Source organism: Homo sapiens, chromosome 9 (assembly GCF_000001405.40).
Source record: "Homo sapiens chromosome 9, GRCh38.p14 Primary Assembly".
In the NCBI taxonomy this organism is placed as follows: domain Eukaryota; kingdom Metazoa; phylum Chordata; class Mammalia; order Primates; family Hominidae; genus Homo; species Homo sapiens.
The window spans coordinates 41,508,897-41,531,928 of NC_000009.12; the positions used below are offsets into that span (position 1 = coordinate 41,508,897).

The following is a 23,032-nucleotide window of genomic DNA, read 5'->3' on the forward strand; positions in this document are numbered from 1 at the left end:
CTGTGGGTCAGGAATTTAGAAACAGGCACAGTGGGCATGCCCCTTTTCTGCACCTCAATGATGAGGCCTCAGCTGGGAAGATTTACATGTCTGGATGCAACTCAAATAGCTGAGGGCTAGGACAGCTGGGACTGGAGTGTCCACTTCCAAAATTGCTTTTTATGCCCATATCTGGCACTTGGCCTTGTGTATTTGAAGCTAGGAATGAACTGGGATTGTCAACCAGAACTCCTATTCGTGGTCTATCCTCATGGTTTGGGTTTCTCCCAGCCTGGCAATACTGGGGCCCTCCTGAGACGGAGGATTCTGAAAAAAAGTGAGCAGAAGTCAGATTGTCGATTTAGGCCAGATCTCAAAAGTTACACAGCATTGCTTTTTTTTGTATTCTCTTAGTCAAAGAAGTTAAAAGTCCTCCCAGATTCAAGGTCAGAGACCCCAGTCCCCACATCTCAATGAAATGACAGTTGAAGAACTCTGAGGAGATATTTTATAACCATTACATTATATCAAATGAAAAAAGGTGATTTTTTTATGTCATTTAATTTGTCCCACAATATTGACTTTTTACTCTTCTCCATGTCCTGATACTCATAATATTCCTCATTTTTCTCCATTAAACTCCATCTTTCAGGGACACTTCTAATACATTATTTTATACTAAATTGTAAACTAGAATTAATTTTTGAAGTATTGCCACTTGCAGGGGGATGTATATTTAATTTACGGAATTATAAATCTAGACAATAATGTACATTGTTAGGATTTTCTATCAGAATTATTTTAATTAATAAATGTTACCTTTAAATTTTTTTAAATCATCCTTTTTTAAGCATTTATTCAGTTGGGACTTTCAGTTCATGTACTTTCCTCTAAATTAAAATCAGATATCATTTGTAGAATTTTATGCGATGACTAAGATGGTTTTTTGGGAGATGATATTCATTACCAAATTTTCTGAAAATATGTAGTATTTGCATTATATCATGATTTCTTATATTACAATAGGTTTTTAAAAAAATTTCAATAACATTAAAATTATTTCTAAATACATCTTAATTTAAAGTAGTTAATTTTAAAATATTTAGTCATTTACTTATAGAATTTAATTTAAATTACCGAGGTGTGTGCATGAGATCAAATAATTATTCTACATTTGCAGTATTTCACAGTGTTTTGTTCTATTTATATCGTGTTCCTTCTATGTGTGGAAAAAAAAATAAGGCTTGTCATGTTCATAACAAAATGTTAAAACCTTTAAGAAAGAATGGAAACTACAACAGAATATTTCTAATTTCAGTTGTACTCCATGTCTGCCATTATACAGATTGTTTAGAGAATCTCCCAAATTACATTCCATATAAAAAGAAATTGAGTGTCAGTGTATCAAACAGAACCATTTTAAACAGTCATGCAAGATGGAGAGAGGAGGTATAATAATGTGGGCCCTGAAATGTTACAGTATGATAGAGTCATAGTTTTATGATAGTTTTTTTTCACTTTAATGTCCAGGAATACTCATGAAGTTTAAGAAGAAAGAATACTGTCAGAAAAGAGGCAATTTTTTTATATTTAAAAAGTTCCCTTTTTCCAGTCTATTCATTTTTATGCATCAACTCTCATTTTATGTTGACAATTTCATAATAACTATATTTACCTTTATTTTTTATCCATATGCATTTCATTTAAAAGTGAAAACTTCCACTCAAAATGTAAAAAGAACTTATAGAATTTGCCTCCAAAGAGCTCTACTAGTCTGTCTTTCCTATTTCATCCAATGTTACGACTACAATTCCCATCTATCAAACACAGCAGTCAATTGGTAAGTCATTTATGTCTCTTTTTATACTATTTTTCATGAAGTTTCTTTATTTTCCAGTTCTATTGTATGTCACCTCAAATATCCATACAACACATTATTTTAATCTCCTTCCCTCTAAGCATTCCTGTTCCACTTAATCTAACACAATGTTCTCAAAGATATGACAAACTGCAACTCTGTTAAAAAAGCTTCAAAGACTTTCCACTGAACTGAACAGAATTAGAATAGATGATTATTTCAGTCATGTGTTGGTATATAACAAAATACCCCAATCACCTATTCTTCCTCCTCTTAAAGTCAATGTATTATTAAAACGTCCAACTTCCTTTTATGAAATATTTCACACATACCCAAAACTGAAAAATAATTGATACAGCAACATAACCAGAAACAAGATTATAAGAAATTCTACAAGGGATAACTACAGGCTAAAATTGTTTAGCATCCCCTTGTATATTTCTCTATTTTTGAGTACAGGTCTGTGTATAGAATATTTTACACAGCATACAGTAGTGTTTGTATCTTCAAATTTAAATAAGATGTTATTGTTTTCTCTGTATTATTTCAACACATGCTTTATAATCTCACTATGATATTTTTGAGAACCATTCCAGCTGATACTTGGGTATCTGTTTTTGTTTAATTTCTATATGGGATTTCATTATATATATAATATAAAGCTATCAATTTTCATATCAGGAAATATTGGCATTTTTATATTTACCATTGTAAATGTTAAAAACAAAGCTACAATAAATATTTATTGTTTTGTTGTTTATATATATTAGAATTTTCATAGGATACACATAGAGCAGGGAAATTTTACAACTTTGGGCACTTTCATCCTTACATTGTCAAGTAGCTTTCCAAAGTCGTTGTATGAATTTATCTTCCCACTATATAATTGTTAGAGTTCCTGTTTTCTAATAGCCTCATCAAAGAGGAGAATTTCTCAAGTATTAAGCAGTAAAGTAAAAAAAAAGTCATCATTCTACAAATTCAATTTTACTAAATAAAATATATTTTATATTTTCTTTAAAAGTGATACAAGATGTCTTTCACATTTGAAGTTAATGTGATGATAGAATACAATTTACAATTTTTCTATATGTTAATCAAATGTATCACTGCTATTTTATGAATAGTTATTCATTTTTCTGGGTGATACGACAATTCATATGTAAAATATCGAAAGTCTACCATGAATTTTTGAATTTTCTGCTATAGTCTAGTGAACAAATTGTTCATCTCTGAGTCAATGCCGCACTATCTTAATGACTATAATTCATAATCAATTCTTATTGAATATCTGCTCAGTGCTAGTATATGAGTTTGCTGGATCTGTTATAACAAATTACCACAAACCTAAACATTTAAAGCAAAAGAAATATATTCTCTTACAGTTCTGTAGGGCAGAAATCTGAAATCAAGGTATAGATAGGCCCACTTTCCTTCTCAAGTGTTTATGGGTGGATCCTACTTTACCTCTTTCAGCTGCTGGTGGCTCAAGGCATTCTTTGGTTTGTAGCTGCATAACTCCAAGCTCTGCTTCCATCCTCAAGTAGCCTTCTTCTATTTCCTGTATCTTCTCCTCTTCTGTCTTTCATAAGAACACTTATTGGATTTAGGGTGCACTAGGATCATCCAGTATGACGTCATCTCAAGATCCTTATTAATATATACAAAAAAATTAGGTCACATCTACAGTTTCTGTGGGCTAGCATATGGAAAGATATGTGCATATTTATCATATTTTGGGAGGCACCATTGAATCTACTAGAGACAAACATCTACATTTAGGATATTAAAGAAAAAAATCCTTGCCTTTGTAAAGATTACAGTCAGATATAGGATGACACAAAAGAAATAAAATATAGACAGGTGTTGAAAAGTTATATATTTTGTGAAGAAAATAAAGCAAGGCAGGATACACAGTAATAGTGGCAGATTACAATTTTAATTAATGTATTCAGTAAGAAACATTGTAAAAATAGCATTGAAATAAACACATCAAAAGGCTGAGGGAAGAAAAAGAATACAGTTTTTCTCTACATCCCAAATTACTTCTGATTGAATGTTTTTACTGGGATCTGTTTCTGGGAGAGACTAAGAGAGTGACTAACTTTGGATAGATTCTGAATGTAGAGCAAGCAGCAAGACTCACTGAAAGGTGGGATGTGCAATTCTTGACAAAGAAAATAAGTAGGATTGACTCTAAGATTTTTGCTTTGAGACAAATGGTCGTAGGTGAGAATGTGCATTTCAAAGTTGAGATGTTTATTAGCTTCTCAAAAGAAGACAGCATAAGAAGTTGGATGTAAGAGCCTGGCATTTAGAAGAGAAGTAAGAGGTAGAGGTACAAATTTGCAAGTTCTTAGCATAAACAATATTGTAAACCATGGCTCTGTGAGAACTCATCAAGGGAGTGGGGGTGGACACAGAAGTGTTCCAAAGACTAAGAAATAGCATACAAAGACATAAGAAGAAAGCCAAGAGGACGTGTTCTGGAAGCCAAAGAAAAAAAGCTGGGTTTTTTTGTTTGTTTGTTTATGTGTTTTTGTTTGTTTGTTTTTTAATTAAAGAAAAAGAGACTACTGATAGATCAATAAAATGAGAATAAAAAATTAACCTTTAAATTTTGGAACATGAAAATAATCAGTGATTTGAAAGGAACATTTAATTGAAATGGTCAATACTTTTCTAGTATTTTAATTGTAACTCATGCCTCACTTTGTTACCCAGGTTGGACTGGACTCCTGGCCTCACATTTTCAAATAATTAATGCTTATTTAGATTTACCCTTACATTTAACAGGTTTACAGTTGCCACTTGCTTCTCACACTTGTCTTTTTTAGTGTTTTCTTTTTTCTTTCTTTGTTACTTTAAAAAGGTTGTTCAATGAATCCATGAGTGTGCTTTCTTAAAATTCTGTAGACCCAAAAAGTCTCAGCACTGTGTATAGTATTCTATCTTGCACTGTATATTTTGCATTTGGAACTTGGTATGCCATTGCATTATTGTATTAGTTTTTCAGTGAACTAGCTTCTTTTTAAAATATTCACCAAATCAGTGTTCTTTCTAGTTTGGATTTATTTTTATCAAATCTGTTCAGAACTTGTCCAATTCCTGAATGTGAAAATTTTTTTTCTTTAATGACTTACAGAAAATTTCCAGTTATTACCTTTAGATATTGCCTCAATACCATCTTAAATGCACCCAAAGTATCTAATATAATAATAATTTTTGTCCATCTTGCTCTATATTGATAACTTTATTTCTCTGTGATATATATTTATTATATTAATTTTAATCATCCATATCTCATAGGTTTTTAAATTCAATTACTATATTTTTATTTTTGGATATCCTTTGCCAAATCTGCTCTTCATTTCTTTTTAAATGTCTTTAGTGTTTATGTATGTTCATTAGATATTATTAATTTTATAATTTTTTTCAAATTATTCATCTATTTTTACACATACTTTTAATTCTGCTGTTTTACATCTGCTGACTCTTATTGCTGGTTTTTTTTTTTTTTTTTTGAGACAGAGTCTCACTTTGTTGCCCAAGCTGGGTTGCAATGGTGCAATATCAGCTTGCTGCAACTTCCGCCTCCCAGGTTCAAGCAATTCTCCTATTTCAGCCTCCCAAATATCTGGGATTATAGGCGCCTGCCACCATGCCTGGCTAATTTTTTGTATTTTTAGTAGAGACGGGGTTTTGCCATGTTGGCCTGGCTGGTCTTGAACTCCTGACCTCAGGTGATCCACCCGCCTCAGCCTCCGAAATTGCTGGGATTACGGGCGTGAGCCACCGCGCCTGGCATGTATATTATTTTTCATTGTGTATTTTGTAATTTTTGTTTGTGAATTTATTTTTAATATAGTTTTCAATTTAACTTGTTAGTTTCTGTAGTGGCAAATCCTTGTGTTTGCAATATTGGATTATTTCTCCATAAGAGTTTCACATTTCTTCTGCTAGGAAATCCATGGGGAATATTGGAATTGGGCTAGTTTTTATTTTATTTCTAATGTTTAAAGTTTCTGAAAAATATTGGCGTTAAAAAATTCTACTTCAATCCTGAGTAAAGAATAAAGTGCTAGTGACAAATTCCCAGTTGTGTTTTCCTTTCTTAATATTTGAGAGCCACAGCCAATGTTGCATACCCTTTGATGTTAAGCAGAAACTTTTGTCTAGACATTGACTTCAGGCTTTAAAATATGTAGTATCTCCCCCAGATTAAAGGTAACTAGTCCCTGATTTCTATTAAAATATAATCTTTAGAAGCTTAAAATCATAGCTCTCAGACAAATATAAAATGAATAGGTTTTAAAGATATTAACTTGAATTAATAAATAACAAATAGATGTTTTAAATGACACAAAGGGAATCTGAGAAACTGGGACATTTAGAAGCAATTTAGCAAAATAACATTAAGATTGCTTGGTTAAATAAATAAATATAGATTGATATATAACAGTGTCATAAATCTGTGAGGTTATCTGTTCTACTAAGGAGATATATTTGTATCTTTACAGGAAAAAAAAGTTCATGGTGCAAAATCCCTTTACTAAATCTGGTACCTTTAATTATTATTGTATAGCACTTAAGTATAGGAACTTGAATATAGCCAATATATTCCTAAAGATCTAAATTACTCTCCAAATAAAATGCTTTTTGTACATAATTTTTTCTATTCCCATTAATTATCTTTCACAGTTTTATTTTGTTTTGATTTTTTCATTTGTTCCTTCCCCCTCCCCTTGGCATTCAGTTAATTCTTCTATTTTCTTTCCCAAACAGGCACATTATCATTAAATGTAATGGTTGGCTGAATCATAACCACATTTAAATATTGCTCTGTTTTGCCATTTGTTTTTCTTCCTTCTTTCTTTCCTTTCTTCGTTCTTGCTTTTCTTGGCAAGCTTATGAAGTTTTATTTGTGTAATTGCTACACAAAGAAACTTCATTGTGTTTGTATTTGCCCTTCAATTGGATCATAAATGCCTTGGTGGCAATGAATGTACATAGCTATTTCTGCATCCTAAGTAGCATATATGTAGGTTTTGAATACAGGATTGATAAATGTTTGTCTTGTGAAATTAAAATAATTACTGATGTCTACATATTGTTTCCAGCTTGCTTCTCTGTTGTTTCCTCTTTAGATATGCTAGATAACCACTTCAATATGATTCTTCTTATGTAAAACCTCATATATTCTCAAAAGTATTATGTATGCATTCAACTAACTGTACATCTACAGTACAGTAAAAAATGAGATTGTAGTAAGTGAAAATGCATTTATAAGTATAGGCAAATTTTTAGGCAAGACACCTCATAAAGATCACTTTAGAAATTAGATCAAGTAAAAATAAGTCACAAAAAGAAACGTGAATTAGTCATCTTAAACATTGTTTTAGGCAGTAAAACAACATTGAAAAAAGAGGATCTTGTAAAGCCTGATACTTGATTCCTATAGGATAACTGAATCAAATCAGATGTTTTAGAGGTAATGGTCACCTGATTGTTTTCTCTTGAGTTTTTTCATATAATAGGTGCAGTGGTTCTTGCAATGAGGAATTTTTTTATGGAAATGTGAAATAAAGTACAGAAATTCCTAATGAAAACCTGTCTTTTAAGTGGATCTCTAAATTCTAAGAAAGTGCTTATATTATCTTAGTTATTTAGCTATTAGCCTGTCAATCATTAGGAAAGTAAGAGCAATTTACAAAGCATCTACCACTGTGCTAGTACTTGCTCACATGTTCTCATCCACCTAAGGGAATATTCAAAGCATCTTAATAGTTGCTACTAATTCATATAATTTAATTAATAGAATAGCAAATACATTCTCATCTTATTTCACATTTTTAACATACACAAGATATAGCTATTTTATAGTGATTAGGTTTAGTAAAAATAACACTGATAAAACTCAACTGTTAGCATGTACAGTTTTAGGCTACATATTTTTCAAAACAACAAAATATAATTTTTTTAGACTCAACTTGAAATTTTGTAAAAAATAAAGTTTCAGAAATAGTAAACTATCACAGAACAAGAAGCATAATAGAAAGTAGAAATTGTTTTACTATAAAAAATACTATAAATAAAAGGGCTAAATGTTTCTTAATATTCGTATACTGATACCAAATATTAGATGCCTTGAGTCACTAAATTAAATTGCCCCTAAATATTACATTTATTATTTAAAATGTTAATGTTGCTTACAAACCTCAACAGATATTTTTGCCAACTTATAGATGGGAGAATTTAAAAAGATGTTGGTGTTTTTAAAAATAGCTTTTAGAAAAGCAACAAAGTGATTTTATGTCTGGAGGTGAAGACCCTTGGAGGAATTTTTCTCATGGACTGTCAAAATATATACCCAAACCATAAGTGGATGTCTGAATAATAATTCATTTACTTTTATTTGATTTGTCAGGTTTTATTTTTCAAAACAAGAGTCAGAATAAGTGATGTCTTTTAGTTGGACTTGTTTCTATTGTTTATTAACATATCCAAGGAACACGTAGAATGAATTGGCAGAATATAATCATATTATCAAATAATTATTAGTTTAGTCAGTTTCATAAACCTAGATAATCAAATGAAAATACATAATAATATAATTATGTCATAATTTTTATCAAAATTTTAAAATTAATGAATTAAATCCAGCTACCAAAGATAGGGGTTTGTGAAAAGTAGATACAATACTAGAGTGGAGGTTGTAATGAAAACTCAGAATGGGCTATAGTATTAAAAAAATAATAAAGACCTCCAGTATTTTTTTTTCTCAAAATGGCAGATTAGAGTCATTGTTAGCATGCCTCTCCTATTTGGAAAGACAGAATTGTGTGTGGAGATTCACACTGTAAATTTTTTCCAAGAAGCAACACAGAAAATTAACAGGAAAACTGAAAGAAAGCACAGACTTTTTGAAAGAAGTGTCAGGTTGCTGTCTAAAATCATGAGCCAGGAGGAAAACTTTAAGTCCCTAGAATGTCAGATAGGGATAAACTGCCTCTAGGACATATACTCCTACTGGGGAACCAAGCAATCCAGGCCACAGGGAAAGGCCTTAATCCCACCCAGCGCTGGAGCTGATTTAGTGAGCAGTGGGGCATATATGAGAAGTAGCAGCATGGGGACGGGCTTAGTGTGCATGCCCAGCAGGACAGAGGAAAGCCATCCCTGATCCTATCTCACAGGGGACCTCACAGAAGTCAGCCAGGTAACTCAGGCAGTGGTCACAGGTTGAGAGAAGCTCTCAACTGAGATTCATGATATAATCTCGAGTGGAGACAAACCCCCTTGGTCAGAACCATGGGGCAGATGGGAAATGTGCTGCAGCCATAGGTGCAAGAGCTGGGTGCCCCTGCTTCATGGGCCAACTAGGAGAGGCGTGACCTGGAAGCCATGGTTGCAGTCTCTTCTGGGAAGTCTTATGGCCTTGGGCAGTGTTGAGTTCTGAGTGTTGACTGCTTGGAACCAAGCTGCTGCGAGTGGGACACTGCAGGTGCAAGACCTGCTTTGCCAAGTGTGTGGGAGCTGAGTGGGGCTAACTGCTGCCTGCTGCTCCCTAATCCTCATACAGATGCTTCTCTGCAGCAGAGGCAGCTGTGGTACTCCCTGCAACATTACTCCTACAGCCAGAGGACCACTATCTGATCCCCACTGGGGACAGTGCTTTTGCCCACACATGGCAGACAAAAGAGAGCTAGAATGTGAACTTGCCTGATTCAGCCCCCAGCTGGCTTTGCCCCTCCATCTGCCCTGGTAGCTTAACACAAAGAATAGAAAATTTTGAGAGCTCAATGGCCCTGCCCATTGCCTGAGTCATCAGCTTACCTCCCCTGCGTAACATAAGGCAAGCACAAATCCCACTGCTACCAGCTGGTGCTCTTTTTCAAGTGCCACCTTGTGGCTGGAGGCCTACTGACACAATCCATTACAGCATCTGCAGGCACACTAACAGTGCACAGGAAAGAGAAAACTTGTGTGTGACCTAAGCTATCACCTTTGCCTATATAACCTTGGCTAACTAGGAGGTCCTGAGTCTGTCCATGCGACCAGTTCATTACTACTACAGGTGGCATTACAGAAAAGCCAATGCACCAAGGCTACTTATAATCAAGAAATCTCACAGAGTCTATGTCATTCTCCTGTCACCCCCATGAGAGCTGTTGTTGCTACTCATTACGGAGTCTTGAGAACAGGTCACATCACTGGACCCCTTGTAGACATTCCCCAGCACCAACCTGGAGTGTGGCAGTCCCACTAGGTGGCTAGAACCAGAGAAGTAGCAGCATTCATACTAGTCTGGCCCTCAGGGACTCCTACTCTTAGGATAAGGGGGAGTGCACATCAGTGGCACACCCCATGGAAAAAAGAATCTAGATGGCAGGACTTGAGTCCAGAACTTCCCACCTGTGGAAAGTTTCTTTCAGTAGAGGCACAGGTACAGTGCTGGACTTGGGAAAATCTACAGAACGGTCTTGAAGAAAAAGACTTTCCCCCCTCATTCACCACTGCAGACACAGCTGGTGCTTCTCTTATGGGAATTTAGCATGAGTGGACCTGTAGATAGCCTTTCTGGAACACTTCAAGTTACCTGCGTCCCCAGAGGAGGAGTCCCCTCCAGATTCAGATTTGCATAAGGCATAGAATCACAATCTCTCTCTACTTGGAACGTGAGAATTCCTGCAAATAAAAAGGGCCTGCTAATCTGAATAGCTAGAACTGTATTTAGGAGTGTGACCTGCTTTCCTGGGGGCCTGGCAAGGGAGCTGAAGTGGCTCCCTCCCTTCCCCGTGAAAAGACCTCAGTGCATTTCACTAAGAGCTCCCACAGATGCCTCGGTCAAGGCTTGGGCTTCTTCCCACCATTGGGTATTGCATTTACCAATCTGCTGGTTTTCACTCAGGGACACCTCCCCTACTGGCCTGAAATCTGAATTATTCAACCAGGTAAAGAAAACACTGGGAGAAAAAAAAAGGCAAAAACGTGCACACCACTTGGGAACTAGATAAGCTTCATGAGACCTCTGCCATTGCTACCCCACAGGAAACAGTGAACCTCCACACACACACTGAGCATAATGTTACCACAACTAGCATCTGAGAAAGCCAACATACAAAGATTTTAAATAACCAGGGAACTTATACAGTCTTCACCCCTGAAAGCACCCAGAGCTGAATTAGGTTACAATAAACTATAAACATTAAAGTCACATCCTCAAAGTGAAAAAAAAAAAAGTGAAAAATCACAGTCAAATCAAAAAATAAATTCAAAAATAATTAGAAGATATAGTCTCAAAAGTAATTAGAAGATATACTCTATCCAAATGAGAAGAAACCAGAAAAATAATTCTGGCAATAGGACAAAATAGGGTTCTATAACACCTCAAAAAGAACACACTAAGTCCCCAGCAATGGATCCCAACCAAGATGAAATCTTTGAAATGCCAGAAAAATAATTCAAAGAAATAAGCAAAGTCTCTTAGAAATAGGTGACTATGTAAAATGGCCAAATATAGCAATTGCTGTTCCTGAGGGAGAAGAAACAGCAAAACTTTTTGAATACTTATTTGAGGGCATAATTGAAGAAAACTTTGCTAGCCTTGCTAGATATTTAGATGTCCAAATACAAGAAACTCAATGAGCTCTGGGGAGGTTCACTGCAAAACTGACATTACAAAGCCATATAGTAATCAAGCTATCTAAAGTCAACATGAAGAAATGAATTCTAAGAACAGTGAGACAAAAGCAACAAGTAACCTATAAAGGAAAACCTATTAGACTAACAGCAGACTTCTCAGCAGAAATCTTACAGGCCAGAAGTTCACTGTATCTTTAGGCTTATCTTTAATATCCTTAGACAAAATAACTATTAGTCAAAAATTTTGTATCCAGCAAAACTGAGTCTCATAAATGAAAGAGAAATAATGTCTTCCTCAGACAAGCAAATGCTGAGGGAATCTGTCCCTATCAGACCAGTCCTACAAGAAATGCTAAATCTTGAAACAAAATGTTGAGCTGCATCAGAACCTAACATACAAAGATTCTCATAGACTCAAGGTAAGGGGGTGGAGAAGGATATTCAATGCAAATGGAAACCAAAAGCAAGCAGGTGTAGTTATATCAGATAAAGTAGACTTTAAAGCAACAATAGTAAAAAAAAAAACCAAAGAAAGTCATTACATAATAATTAAATAATTAATTCAACAAAATATAATAATTCTACATAAGTATGCACATAACACTGGAGCTCCTACATTTATAAAACAATTACTACTAGACCTAAGAAAAGGAATAGACAGCAACACAATAATAGTGAGGAACTCTAACACTCCACTGACAGCACTAGACAGATCACTGAAGCAGGAAGTCAACAACAACAAAAACAAAAAAACACTGGACTTAAGTTGCAGTCCAGAAGAAATGGACCTAACAGATGTTTACAGAACATTGTACCCAAAAACCGCAGAATTCACATTCTTCTCATCAACACATAGAACAGCCTCCAAGACAGACCATAGGATAGGCCACAAAAACAAATCTCAATAAATTTTAAAAAGTCAAAATTATATAAAGTACCTTCTCAGGTCACAGTGAAATAAAACTAGAAATGAGCTCCAAAAGGAACCCTTAAAACTATACAATTACCTGGAAATTGAACAATCTGCTTCTTAATGATTACTGGGTTAACAATGAAATGAAGAAAGAAATTAAAAAATTCTTTAAATGGATGATTATAGTGACACAAGTTATCAAAACCTCTGGGACATAGCAAAAGCAATGCTAAAAGGAAAGTTTCTAGCACTGAACACCTACGTAAAAAAGTCTGAAAGATTACAAATTCGCAACATAATGTCATACCTCAAGAAACTATAGAAACAACAAATCAAACTTAAAGCCAGGAGAAGAAAAGAAAGATTAAAGCAGAACTAAATGAAATTGAAATAAAAATACAAAAGTTTAATGAAACAAAATTTGGTTATTTGAAAATAGAAATACAATAGATCATTAGTTAGAAGAATTAAGATTGTTAGAACGATTAACAATTGTTCTAACAATTAGAACGATTAACAATTGTTCTAACAATTAGTTAGAACATTAGTTAGAACAATTAAGAAGATAGAAGTTTAAATTAGCTCAATTAGAAATGAAAATGGAAACATTTTAACCAATATCACAGAAATATAAAAGATCATTTGAGACTACTATGTAACCTCTATGCACATAAAAATAAAAGTAAAGAAAATAGATAGATTCCGGGAAACATACAACCCTACCAGCTTAAACCAGGAAGAAATAGGTATCCTTACAGACCAATAACAAGCAGTGAGATTGTATAAGTAAGAAAAAAAAAATGCCGACTAAAAAACCCAGACAGATCACAGCCAAATTCTATCAGACATTCAAAGAAGAACTGGTACCAAGCCTACTGAAACTACTCTAAAAGACTGAGAAAAAGGGAATCCTCCTTAACTCATTCTATGAAGCCAGTATCACCCTGATACCAAAACCAGAAAAAGGCATATCATAAAAAAAGAAAACTACAAATGAACATCTCTGATAAAGACATACGCAAAAATTCTTAACAGATACTGGCAAATCAAATCCAAAAACATATCAAAAAGACAATTCACTATAATCAAGTGAGTCTCATCCCAGGGAGGCAAGGATGACTCAACATACGCAAGGTAATAAATGTGATGTATTTTATAAACAGAATTAAAAACCAAATACGTATGATCATCTCAATAGATGCATAAAAACATTCAGTAAAATCCAGCATTGCTTTATGATAAAAACCCTAAACAAACTAGACATAGAATAAACATATCTCAAAATAATAAAAGCTATATATGACAAACCCATGGCCAACATCATATTGAATGGGGAAAAGTTGAAAGTCTTCCCACTGAGGGCTAGAACAAGTTAAGGATGCCCATTTTCACCACTTCTACTTAACATAGTACTGGAAGTCCTACCCAGAGCAATCAAGCAAGAGGAAGAAATAAAGGGCATCCAAGCTGGAAAAGAGGAAGACAAATTATCTCTGTTTGCTGATGATTTAAGCATATACTTAGATAAACCTAAGAATTCCACCAAAAGACTCTTCTATTTGATGAATGAATTCATAAAATCTTAGGTTACAAAATGAATGTACACAAATTAGTACTACTGCATAGCACCAACAATGATCAAGCTGAGAATCAAATCAAGAACTCAATTTCTTTTACAATAGCAGCAGAAAAAAAATTGAAATACACTTAACCAAATAAGTGAAAGATCTCCATAAGGAGAGCTACAAAAACTGCTGAAATAAATTAGAGATGATATAAACAAATGGAAATACATCCCATGCTCATGGATAGGAAGAATCATATTTGTGAAAATGACCTTACTGCTAAAAGCAATCTACAGATTCAATGCACTTCCTATCAAAATACTGACATCATTTTTCATAGAATTAGAGAAAGCAATTCTAAATTCTTATGAAACCAGAAATAAGCTTGAATTAAAAAAGCAACTCTGAGCAAAAAGAACAAATCCGGAGGCATAGTTTTAAGAGACTTCAAGTTATAATACAAGGTTTTAGTAATCAAAACAGCATGCATGGTACTGGTATAAAGGTAGATAAATAAACCAAAGGAAAGGAATAGAGAAACCAGAAATAAAGCCAAATGTATACAACCAACTGATCCTCCACAAAGCATTCAAAAACATAAATAGGAAAGGACACCCTATTCAATAAATGATGCAGGGAAAACAAGACAGCCACATGTAGAAGAATGAAACTGGATCACTCTTTCTCACCATCTACAAAAATTAGAAGATGGATCAGACTTAAATATAAAACCCAAAACCATAAAAATTCTGGAAAAAAACTAAGAAAAACACATCTGGATATTTACCTAAGCCAAAACTTTATGACTAAGACTCCAAAAGTAAGTGCAACAAAAACAAAAATAAATAAAAAGGACATAAGTAAACTAAAAACCTTCACAGCAAAAGAAATAGTCATCACAGTAAACAGATAACTCAGAGAATAGAAGAAAATGTTTACAAAGTATGCATCTAGCAAATAATTAATATCTAGAATTAACAAGGAAAACAAATCAGCAAGAAAAAATAATCCCAACAGAAAGTGAAAAAAAATTACATGAATAGACATTTCTCAAAAGAAGATATACAAATGACCAACAAACATATAAAAAATTCTCAATGTCACTAATCATCAAAGAAATGCAAATTAAAACCACAGTGAGATACCATCTTTTCCCAGCATAATAGCCATTATTAAAAAGTCAAAAAAAACAAAGAAACAGATTTTGGCATGAATGTGGTGAAAAGGGCATGCTTATACATTGCTGGTGGGAATGTAAATTAGTACCTCCTTTATGTAAAGCATTATGGAGATTTTTGAAATAACTAAAAGTAGATCTAGCATTCAGTCCATCAATCCCACTACTGGTTAACTACTCAAATTAAAAAAAGTCATTGTATCAAAAATACATCTGCATGTATATGTTTATTGCAGTACAATTCACAATTACAAAGATACAGAACCAACCTAAGTGCTCCTCAACCAATGAGTGGATAAAGAAATGTGGTAAACATACACCATGACATACTACTCAGCCCTAAAAAGAATGAAATAATGTCATTTGCAGCAACTCCAACTGGAGCTGGAGGCCATTATTCTAAGTGAAGTAACTCAGGAATGGAAAACCAAATATCATATATTCTCACTTTTAAGTGGTAGCTAAGCCATGGGTATGCATACAGAGTGGTATAATGGACATTGGAGACCACTAATGGGGAGAGTAGGAGGTGGGTGAGGGATAAAACACTACATATTGGGTACAATGTACACTACTTGGGTGACAAGGGCACCAAAATCTCAGACTTTACCACTCTGTAACCAAAAACCACTTGTTCCCCAAAAGCTATTGTGTTATGTATGTATATTACATATGTCTAAGTATAGCCATAGATATCCAGGATTTTTTTTATCCTTAAAAAACCATATGATTTAAGAGAACTTAAAGTTATTAAAAATATATTATTATTTTAATTCTCCATCTCCCCTGGTAGTGTGCTATGCAAATAATAATGAGGAGATATTAAAGGTCCCTGGGTTTCTCATGGATTCTCTCAAAGCACTAGCTTCTTGAGACTCTTCACACACTGAGAGAATTAAATCTGTAGCCCTTTGTCCAGTTAATTTCTCTGATTTGCAACAATAGGAAAACTTCTTTTACTCCCCTAAGAGGGTCAAATTTTTAAAATCCTTAGATTACTAGGTTCCTAGGTTAAGTACTAGGGTAAGAGGAAGACTAGGTTTTTGTATTCATATGTCAAAAGATATGATGTTCCAGAATTTGGAGACAGCTATAGGTCATAAAAACTTGGAGATACAGGGTTATTTGGTTCCAGGAGAGATTTTACAACATTCCAAAAGTTTGGAATAAAGAAGATATCCTCTTAGAAGGACAGAAAAACAGCCGTTTCCGTCCTAGTATAAGTATAAAAACAAAGACAAGGAAAAAAACCATTGTTCTTAACTTCTTGCTTTCAGAGAGTCTGGCCTCTCACTAGGATGATCTGGATCTCTTTATACTGTCCAAAGATAAGAACTGGGAAAAGGAGCAGCCAACACACATTATTAAGAAATCTGTTTCTGACTGAGAACACTGTGTGGACATTTAAAATAAAATTAACAAACTTGAGCCCAGGAGTTTGAGGCTGCCATGAGCTATGATGGCATCACTACACTCTAACGTGGGCAACTAAGTGAGAACCAGTTTCTAAATAAATAAAGAAATAAATACATAAATAGTAAAATGAATAAGATGAGTATTAAAAGCCCAAAAACAGATTCTCAAATTTTGTTGAATATGTGAATGGATGAATAAATATGAAATGTAGATGGAGACATTAGGAAGAAGTTAGCTTCCACTGAAAAATATACACAAATCAAATTCCAAATAATTAAATATGTAGAATATAGCTTGTTTACAACAATAAAAAATAATGTTCTCTGTCAGAGAAAATTAAGAAAAGCAATTTAAACTCAACTGTTATAGAAAGAAAGATTACTATCTATTTAGCAGTGCTTAAAAAGGAGGTCATAGAGAATTAATTCCAATATAAACCTGACATGAACAGCAATGCAAAAAATTTGGACTCAATGTAAAATATTATTTGATGGTGTGAATAAATAATGAAATAAATGTTCATAAGATAAATTGTTGAAATAATTTGAAATCATTTTTGAATAATTATTGAAATAATTAAATAAATTGTTCATGAAAAATTACTCATCTTGAGGAAGACAATCCCCATTTTACTACAATTTCATTATTTTATATTGGCAAGAGAAGAAATATTTTGAAAAACATTAATAAAGTTGACTTAAACAGGAGTATGATCCTCTTTCAGATGCAAAATAGAAGATAGGGGATGGAGCAAGTCTACCTTCCTTAAAAAGGTAGCTGAAGTCATCAGGAATTGTTTGTGTCATGCTACAGACCTATACTGAAGAATAATAAATGAAACAGACTTATGAACTCATCAGATATATTTACACTAAGCATACTGATTAGAAAGTTCTCCTCATGTAATTTCTTCTTCCTGAACGATCTCAAAAAAATATAATTTCAGGTCTAGATAATTGAAATAAAAGTGCATCCCTGAAACAAATTATTTAGCTCTTACTTTTTATAAATACTCTAATTGCTAAACTTATCAGGATCATGACCTACTTTGTATAGACAAATTAAATTCTAATTCTCCAGATCACAATATATAGGCTTTAAGTCACCATAATTTTTCCCCATTTGCCTCATTTCTGCCTTTCTTTGAGGTCTCTACCTTTTGTAACTAGTTTTTAATTTGTAAAATATTTACTTAATATTAGCTGATTTATAATGAATTAGTTTAGACTAGAATGGCATTTGAATACTTGTTGAAAATAATATCACTTGTAGACCCAGAATACTTTGGTAGCTACTTCATTTTCTCTGTCTCTTTCTGAAAAGTTAGCCAGCTTGCTTTAGGCAGACACTAAGGGAAGGGTCCCCCAGAGAACCTCCTATCTGCTCCACAAGTGTTTATACCAGATGTTTTGTGCACATAAGGGTACTTGCTCCGGGGGCTTGCCTAAACATGCCCGCAGTGGAAAATTTTGTTTCTTAACACGTGGGCAGTAAGAAAAATAAATCAATATGGAATGTCTCAGACTAAGGGTCTGCATGCACTCTGGAAGGATGCAGTGGAGCCTACAGGAATTCACGCCTTATACAAATAGGGAACTCAGCCCCATCAGCTTATATAAAAATGCCTTTGATTCACCTGTGAAGAGGGCAACCGGGAACCTACTTTCAGGACTCCTCTCTTTGCTGAGAGCTTTCCTTTAACTTAATAAATTCTATACAATTCAGAACAATGTGCTCTCCCTCCGTTTTTAGAGACATGTCCCTTACCCCAACCTCCAATGGCCACAGGTACACATGTGAGACAAATGGGAGAGTGGCAACTCCCAACCCCCTCCCCTCCCGTCTGGGGCACATAGCCCAAGGGCCCCACTTGGCTAGGTGGCCAGCATTTCCTGCTCACTCTTCCCTCTCCCCATGCACCCACAGTGTCTTTCCTCCCCTGGCTGAGCCAGAAAGGAGGAGACAGCAATTAAAATGTTCTCTCCCTATAGGAGGAACTCATTTGCATAAGAATAAAAGGTTTCTCCTCCAGGCATCTTCCCCACCCTGCACTTAAGCTGTTTTATTTTATTTTTTTTTCTTTTCTCCACTTTGTAAGGAGTTAACTTTTATGAGAGGTTTTTTGTTGGTTTTTGTTTTTGTTTTTTCTTATTAGGCCAGGACCCCAATTCCCAAGACAGCCTTTTCTCTCCCTTGTTTAAGGAAGACCCAGCTCCAAAGCTTTAGGTTAGCATGACTCATTGCTGCCGATTAGGCCCCCTTCCATCTCGTGGATAGAGGTCATTCTAGTATCCACGGCATGTATGAAATCTAGAGAACTCAAAAGTTATCGACAACAGTGGGACAAGCAGCGCATGGGTAATGGTGGATAACTCGCACCCTGTAAGCCCCCTGTTAACATAGGTGAAAGCTGCACTGGCACCCATGGGTGGTAACCTGCCAAGATCACCAGGACTCAGGGATATAAGAACAGAAGAAAGAAAGAGGACACTTTTCTCCTCTCCCTCATGTACCTCAGGTATTTACTAGGAAAAAGAAGAAACTAGGGATGCCTTGCTCCCCTCTTCTTAGGTGAGTAACCAATCATCTGCAGCCCATATTTCTCTTGATTGCCTCCTGAATCACTAGGACTCTTCTGAAAAAACACCTCCTTTCTCCTTTTTCCTCCTCTGTCCTCTCTTTGTGGGTGGGTCATTGTGTCGCTGTACCACAGGACACTCCCTTTGGATGCATCTCTTAAACTGGGAAAAGTTAATTTCTCCAAACCTTAAACTGCTTGGCTCAAAACTGAGCATGAAAAAGGGCAACTCAGAAGCCTGGTACACCAGCAAAAGGGTAAAAGTTCTTACCAGGGCCGGGTGCAGTGGCTCACGCCTGTAATCCCAGCATTTTGGGAGGCCAAGGCAGGCGGATCATGAGGTCGGGAGATGGAGACCATCCTGGCTGACACGGTGAAACCCCATCTCTACTAAAAATAACAACGACAACAACAACAAAAAATTAGCCGGGCGTGGTAGCGGGCACCTGTAGTCCCAGCTACTCCGGAGGCTGAGGCAGGAGAATGGCGTGAACCTGGGAGATGGAGCTTGCAGTGAGCCGAGATCACACCACTGCACTCCAGCCTGGGGACAGAGGGAGACTCTGTCTCAAAAAAAAAAAAAAAAAAAAAAAAAAAATAGTTCTTACCAGTCAGACTTCTGGCCTCCTTCTCCCTGTGCAAACCAGTTGAATAAATGATAAAATCCCTGTTTAAATCACTGTTTATATACTCTCTGAAGTTCTGATAAATAGAAAAAAAGGATTTATGAGGCTAGCCTTAAGCTGTAGCCAATGTAGTGTGCTTTGTGTGTCTTTCTGTATAGTTCTGTCATAAAGAGGGGTACCTTAGGATAGAATGCAGGCCTAGGACCCCAAAAGTTTGCTGATCAAACCAGCCTGGCAAACTGGTCAGTAACAAACCTTGCTGCAGTTCTTCATCTTGTTTTTTGTCCTTAGGAGCTTGACCTTGTAACCACTTGATAATACTTTCTTTTGGCCTCTGCCATTTTACAATGGTGGCCCGGGTTTAATCCCGGCTTAGGGAATGAGTATATTTTGGCCAATATCTGTGTGACTTCTACCATTTGCTGATTCTCTTCCCCTCTATAAACAACTTTAGCTTCCTTTCTTAAATCTTCCTTTGTCTGAACCAACTTTAAAGATCTTAGATTCTGTAAAAACTGCTTAGCACCTCTTTGAAAATAACTTTTACACTTACAGTTAAGTCATAACCTTAGTTGAGGCTTGTTGGTTTCACCTGTGAGGTTATTTTTAATAAAGTTCAAAAGCCAGAAATATTGGCTGCTCGGCATGGCTAAAGTTGGGTAATAGATATGAAACGATTTTCTTAGAGCACAGCTGAATTAAAAGTGGATATCCAAGTTATAGGTATATTTAAAGGCCTTTAAATTTTTCTCTGCATGGATCTTGTTTTTCTGGAAAAAGGTTCTTTCTCTGTTGAATGATTTTTTTTTTCCCATTTTGTCTTGTCATTCAGTGCATACATGAGAGGCTCTAAGATAACTTCTGATAGCCCGGGGCTCCTGGGAAAAAACAAAGAAGGTGCCGCAGACCCCATTTTGGGGAAAAAACACCCTCTGTTTTCCTCACGAAACCCCAGGAATTAAAAGTGGATAGATCCTTCTCAAAATCTGTCTCTGTCTTCCAGCTATGCCTGTTTATTAGGCCCTAGAAACTGTATGCTGTCCTAGACCCTGCTCTTGAAGGGCTTCACCCAGAGGCCAATAATCTATTCAGAAGATTGGCAAATGAAAAATCTTACAAGTACTGAATTTGCTTTTGTTCATCTGTGTAATTTTCTATTTCTTATGGGTGTGATGTTTATATAAAAAAGCTCTAGGAAAATAAGCACTTAGATCAAATATTTTTTGAAGAAAAATAAAAGCTGTAATACCTTTTCAGTTCACATGACTATAATCTTTAAGAAATAAAGGCTGTTTTAAAAATAATTGGTAAAATACAAATGTCTTTAAAATGTAAATATGTGGGCTGAATCATGTAGGTCAGATACTAGGTTAGCTAAATGCTTCAAAGTTATTAACTGCTTCTTTGGCTTTTAAGAATTATTTGATAAAGTTTGGCTCTGTGTCCCCACCCAAATCTCATCTTGTAGCTCCCGTAATTTCCATGTGTTGTGGCAGGGACCCAGTGGGAGATGATTGAATCATGAGGGTGGGTCTTTTTATGCTGTTCTCATGATAGTAATGGGTTTCATGGATCTGATGGTTTTAAAAATGAGAGTTTCTCTGCACAAGCTCTCTTTTTTGGTTTGCCACCATCCACATAAGATGTCACTTGCTCCCCCTTGCCTTCTGCTATGATTGTGAGGCCTCCTCAGCCACGTGGAACTGTAAGTCCAATTAAACCTCTTTCTTTTGTAAATTGCCCAGTCTCAAGATTGCCTTTATCAGCAGCATGAAAATTGACTAATACACTATTCAATTTGCCTGCTTCACAATTAATAAGTCCAGGGACATATGGAATTAACCACACCCTTAATTATGCAGGAAGGAATCAGACTTTATTTATGCCTACTACATAATTAAAGCAACTTGCCAGGTTTTACATTAAAGTTAAAAATTGCTAGGAGTTACCATAATAACCTGTAATTGAGACAATGAAAATAGATTTACATATAAGGTAAGTAAGGAAAGTAAAATATGTTTTTAGTAAAAGATTATAAGAATGCATGAAAATGTAAATTTTTGCCTTGGGTTAAAGGATTGTTTTGAATTAGGTAAGATAAAGCTGAAGGTTTAAACAAATGGTGAAAAGTTTGTAAAAATTAATCTTGCAAAAGAAATTGTGTGAACATATTGACTAATTTCAAAAAAGTATTTTGTTTTTGTAAATTGAGCATTGAAATAAAACACAACAAGGTTTTCTAAAGGCGCTGATCTGCTCTTTAACAACAATTTGTAAAGGGTTATAAAAGTGTAAAAAAATCTCACCTCATGGTCAAACTAGATAAGATTAGATATAATTATCTATAAGTTTTCATTAAAAAAATTGGGGTTGACATCAACAGTAGACTAATGCAAGGATGAAATTAGGCTTTCACTTGAACAGCATTTCTCTGTAAAATTAACGACAGATTGTTTGGAAAGCTAAGTTTTCCCTCTTCCTGTGAATATGCTTTTGCGTTGTTTTAAAATGTTTGAGTCATCATTTTGGCTAAAATAAATGACATATGGTAACTTGGAATTCTATTTTATAATATCAAGTGCTTTGAGCCTCTAACGTAATTAACAGTCTTCCCAAAATCAAACTTCAGTTTCAAAATTGTCTTTCCTGGTCCCTGGAACATCCAAAACAGAAGAAAACTGGGTTTTTTGAAATGTTTAGTTATATGGTATTTCCAAAGTTATATTTAATCTGCTTTAGGTTATATTTTAGTGAATAATATTAATATGTTTCAAAATTATATGAGATTTCTAAAATTCTAATGTCTGAATATATGCTATCAATCATAATTAAGGTTATTATGTTTAGTTATTGTAAACCCTAGAAATAACTAAATTTCTTTGTCAATTGTATTCTTGACAGTAACTACCCTGGACATTTCATCATTCACAGACAAATGTCTTCTTTTGATCCTACTCAAAAGATGATTTATAATCAGCTACAGGATTTTGACAAGTGTTCTCAAATGCAAGATTCCATTAGCTCTGGAGATTATGACATTGAAAAAAATACAGTACTCATAAAGAACTGAAATGTTCATGAATATCAAGCAGAATAAGAGAACAGAATGGATTGAACTAATAGAAAACAAGTATTATTTTTAACCTTTTTGCTTAAAACTTTGGTGATCCTTGCTTTGTTTTTCTGAGTCAAGAATACTTATTTTGAACTATTTAAAGCCTTTAATAATTGAGTAAACTATACACCTGTGAACAAAATTTGAAGGATGTTTGTTT

General features: G+C 34.7%; 1 long non-coding RNA gene across 5 annotated transcripts in view; it reads right to left on the reverse strand.

Moving 5' to 3' along the window:
* The window catches only part of LOC105376065 (uncharacterized), an 82,523-nt gene that overhangs the window by 25,709 nt on the left and 33,782 nt on the right, over nucleotides 1–23,032 (reverse strand). For 3 of the 5 annotated variants that reach the window (XR_007061516.1, XR_007061515.1, XR_007061518.1), the window contains exon 2: nucleotides 3,305–3,487. This is a non-coding gene — a long non-coding RNA (uncharacterized LOC105376065). Of the gene's footprint in view, nucleotides 1–3,304; nucleotides 3,488–12,489; nucleotides 14,978–19,402; nucleotides 21,201–23,032 lie in introns of those variants that run through there. The other 2 variants (XR_007061517.1, XR_007061519.1) reach the window with 2 other exon arrangements.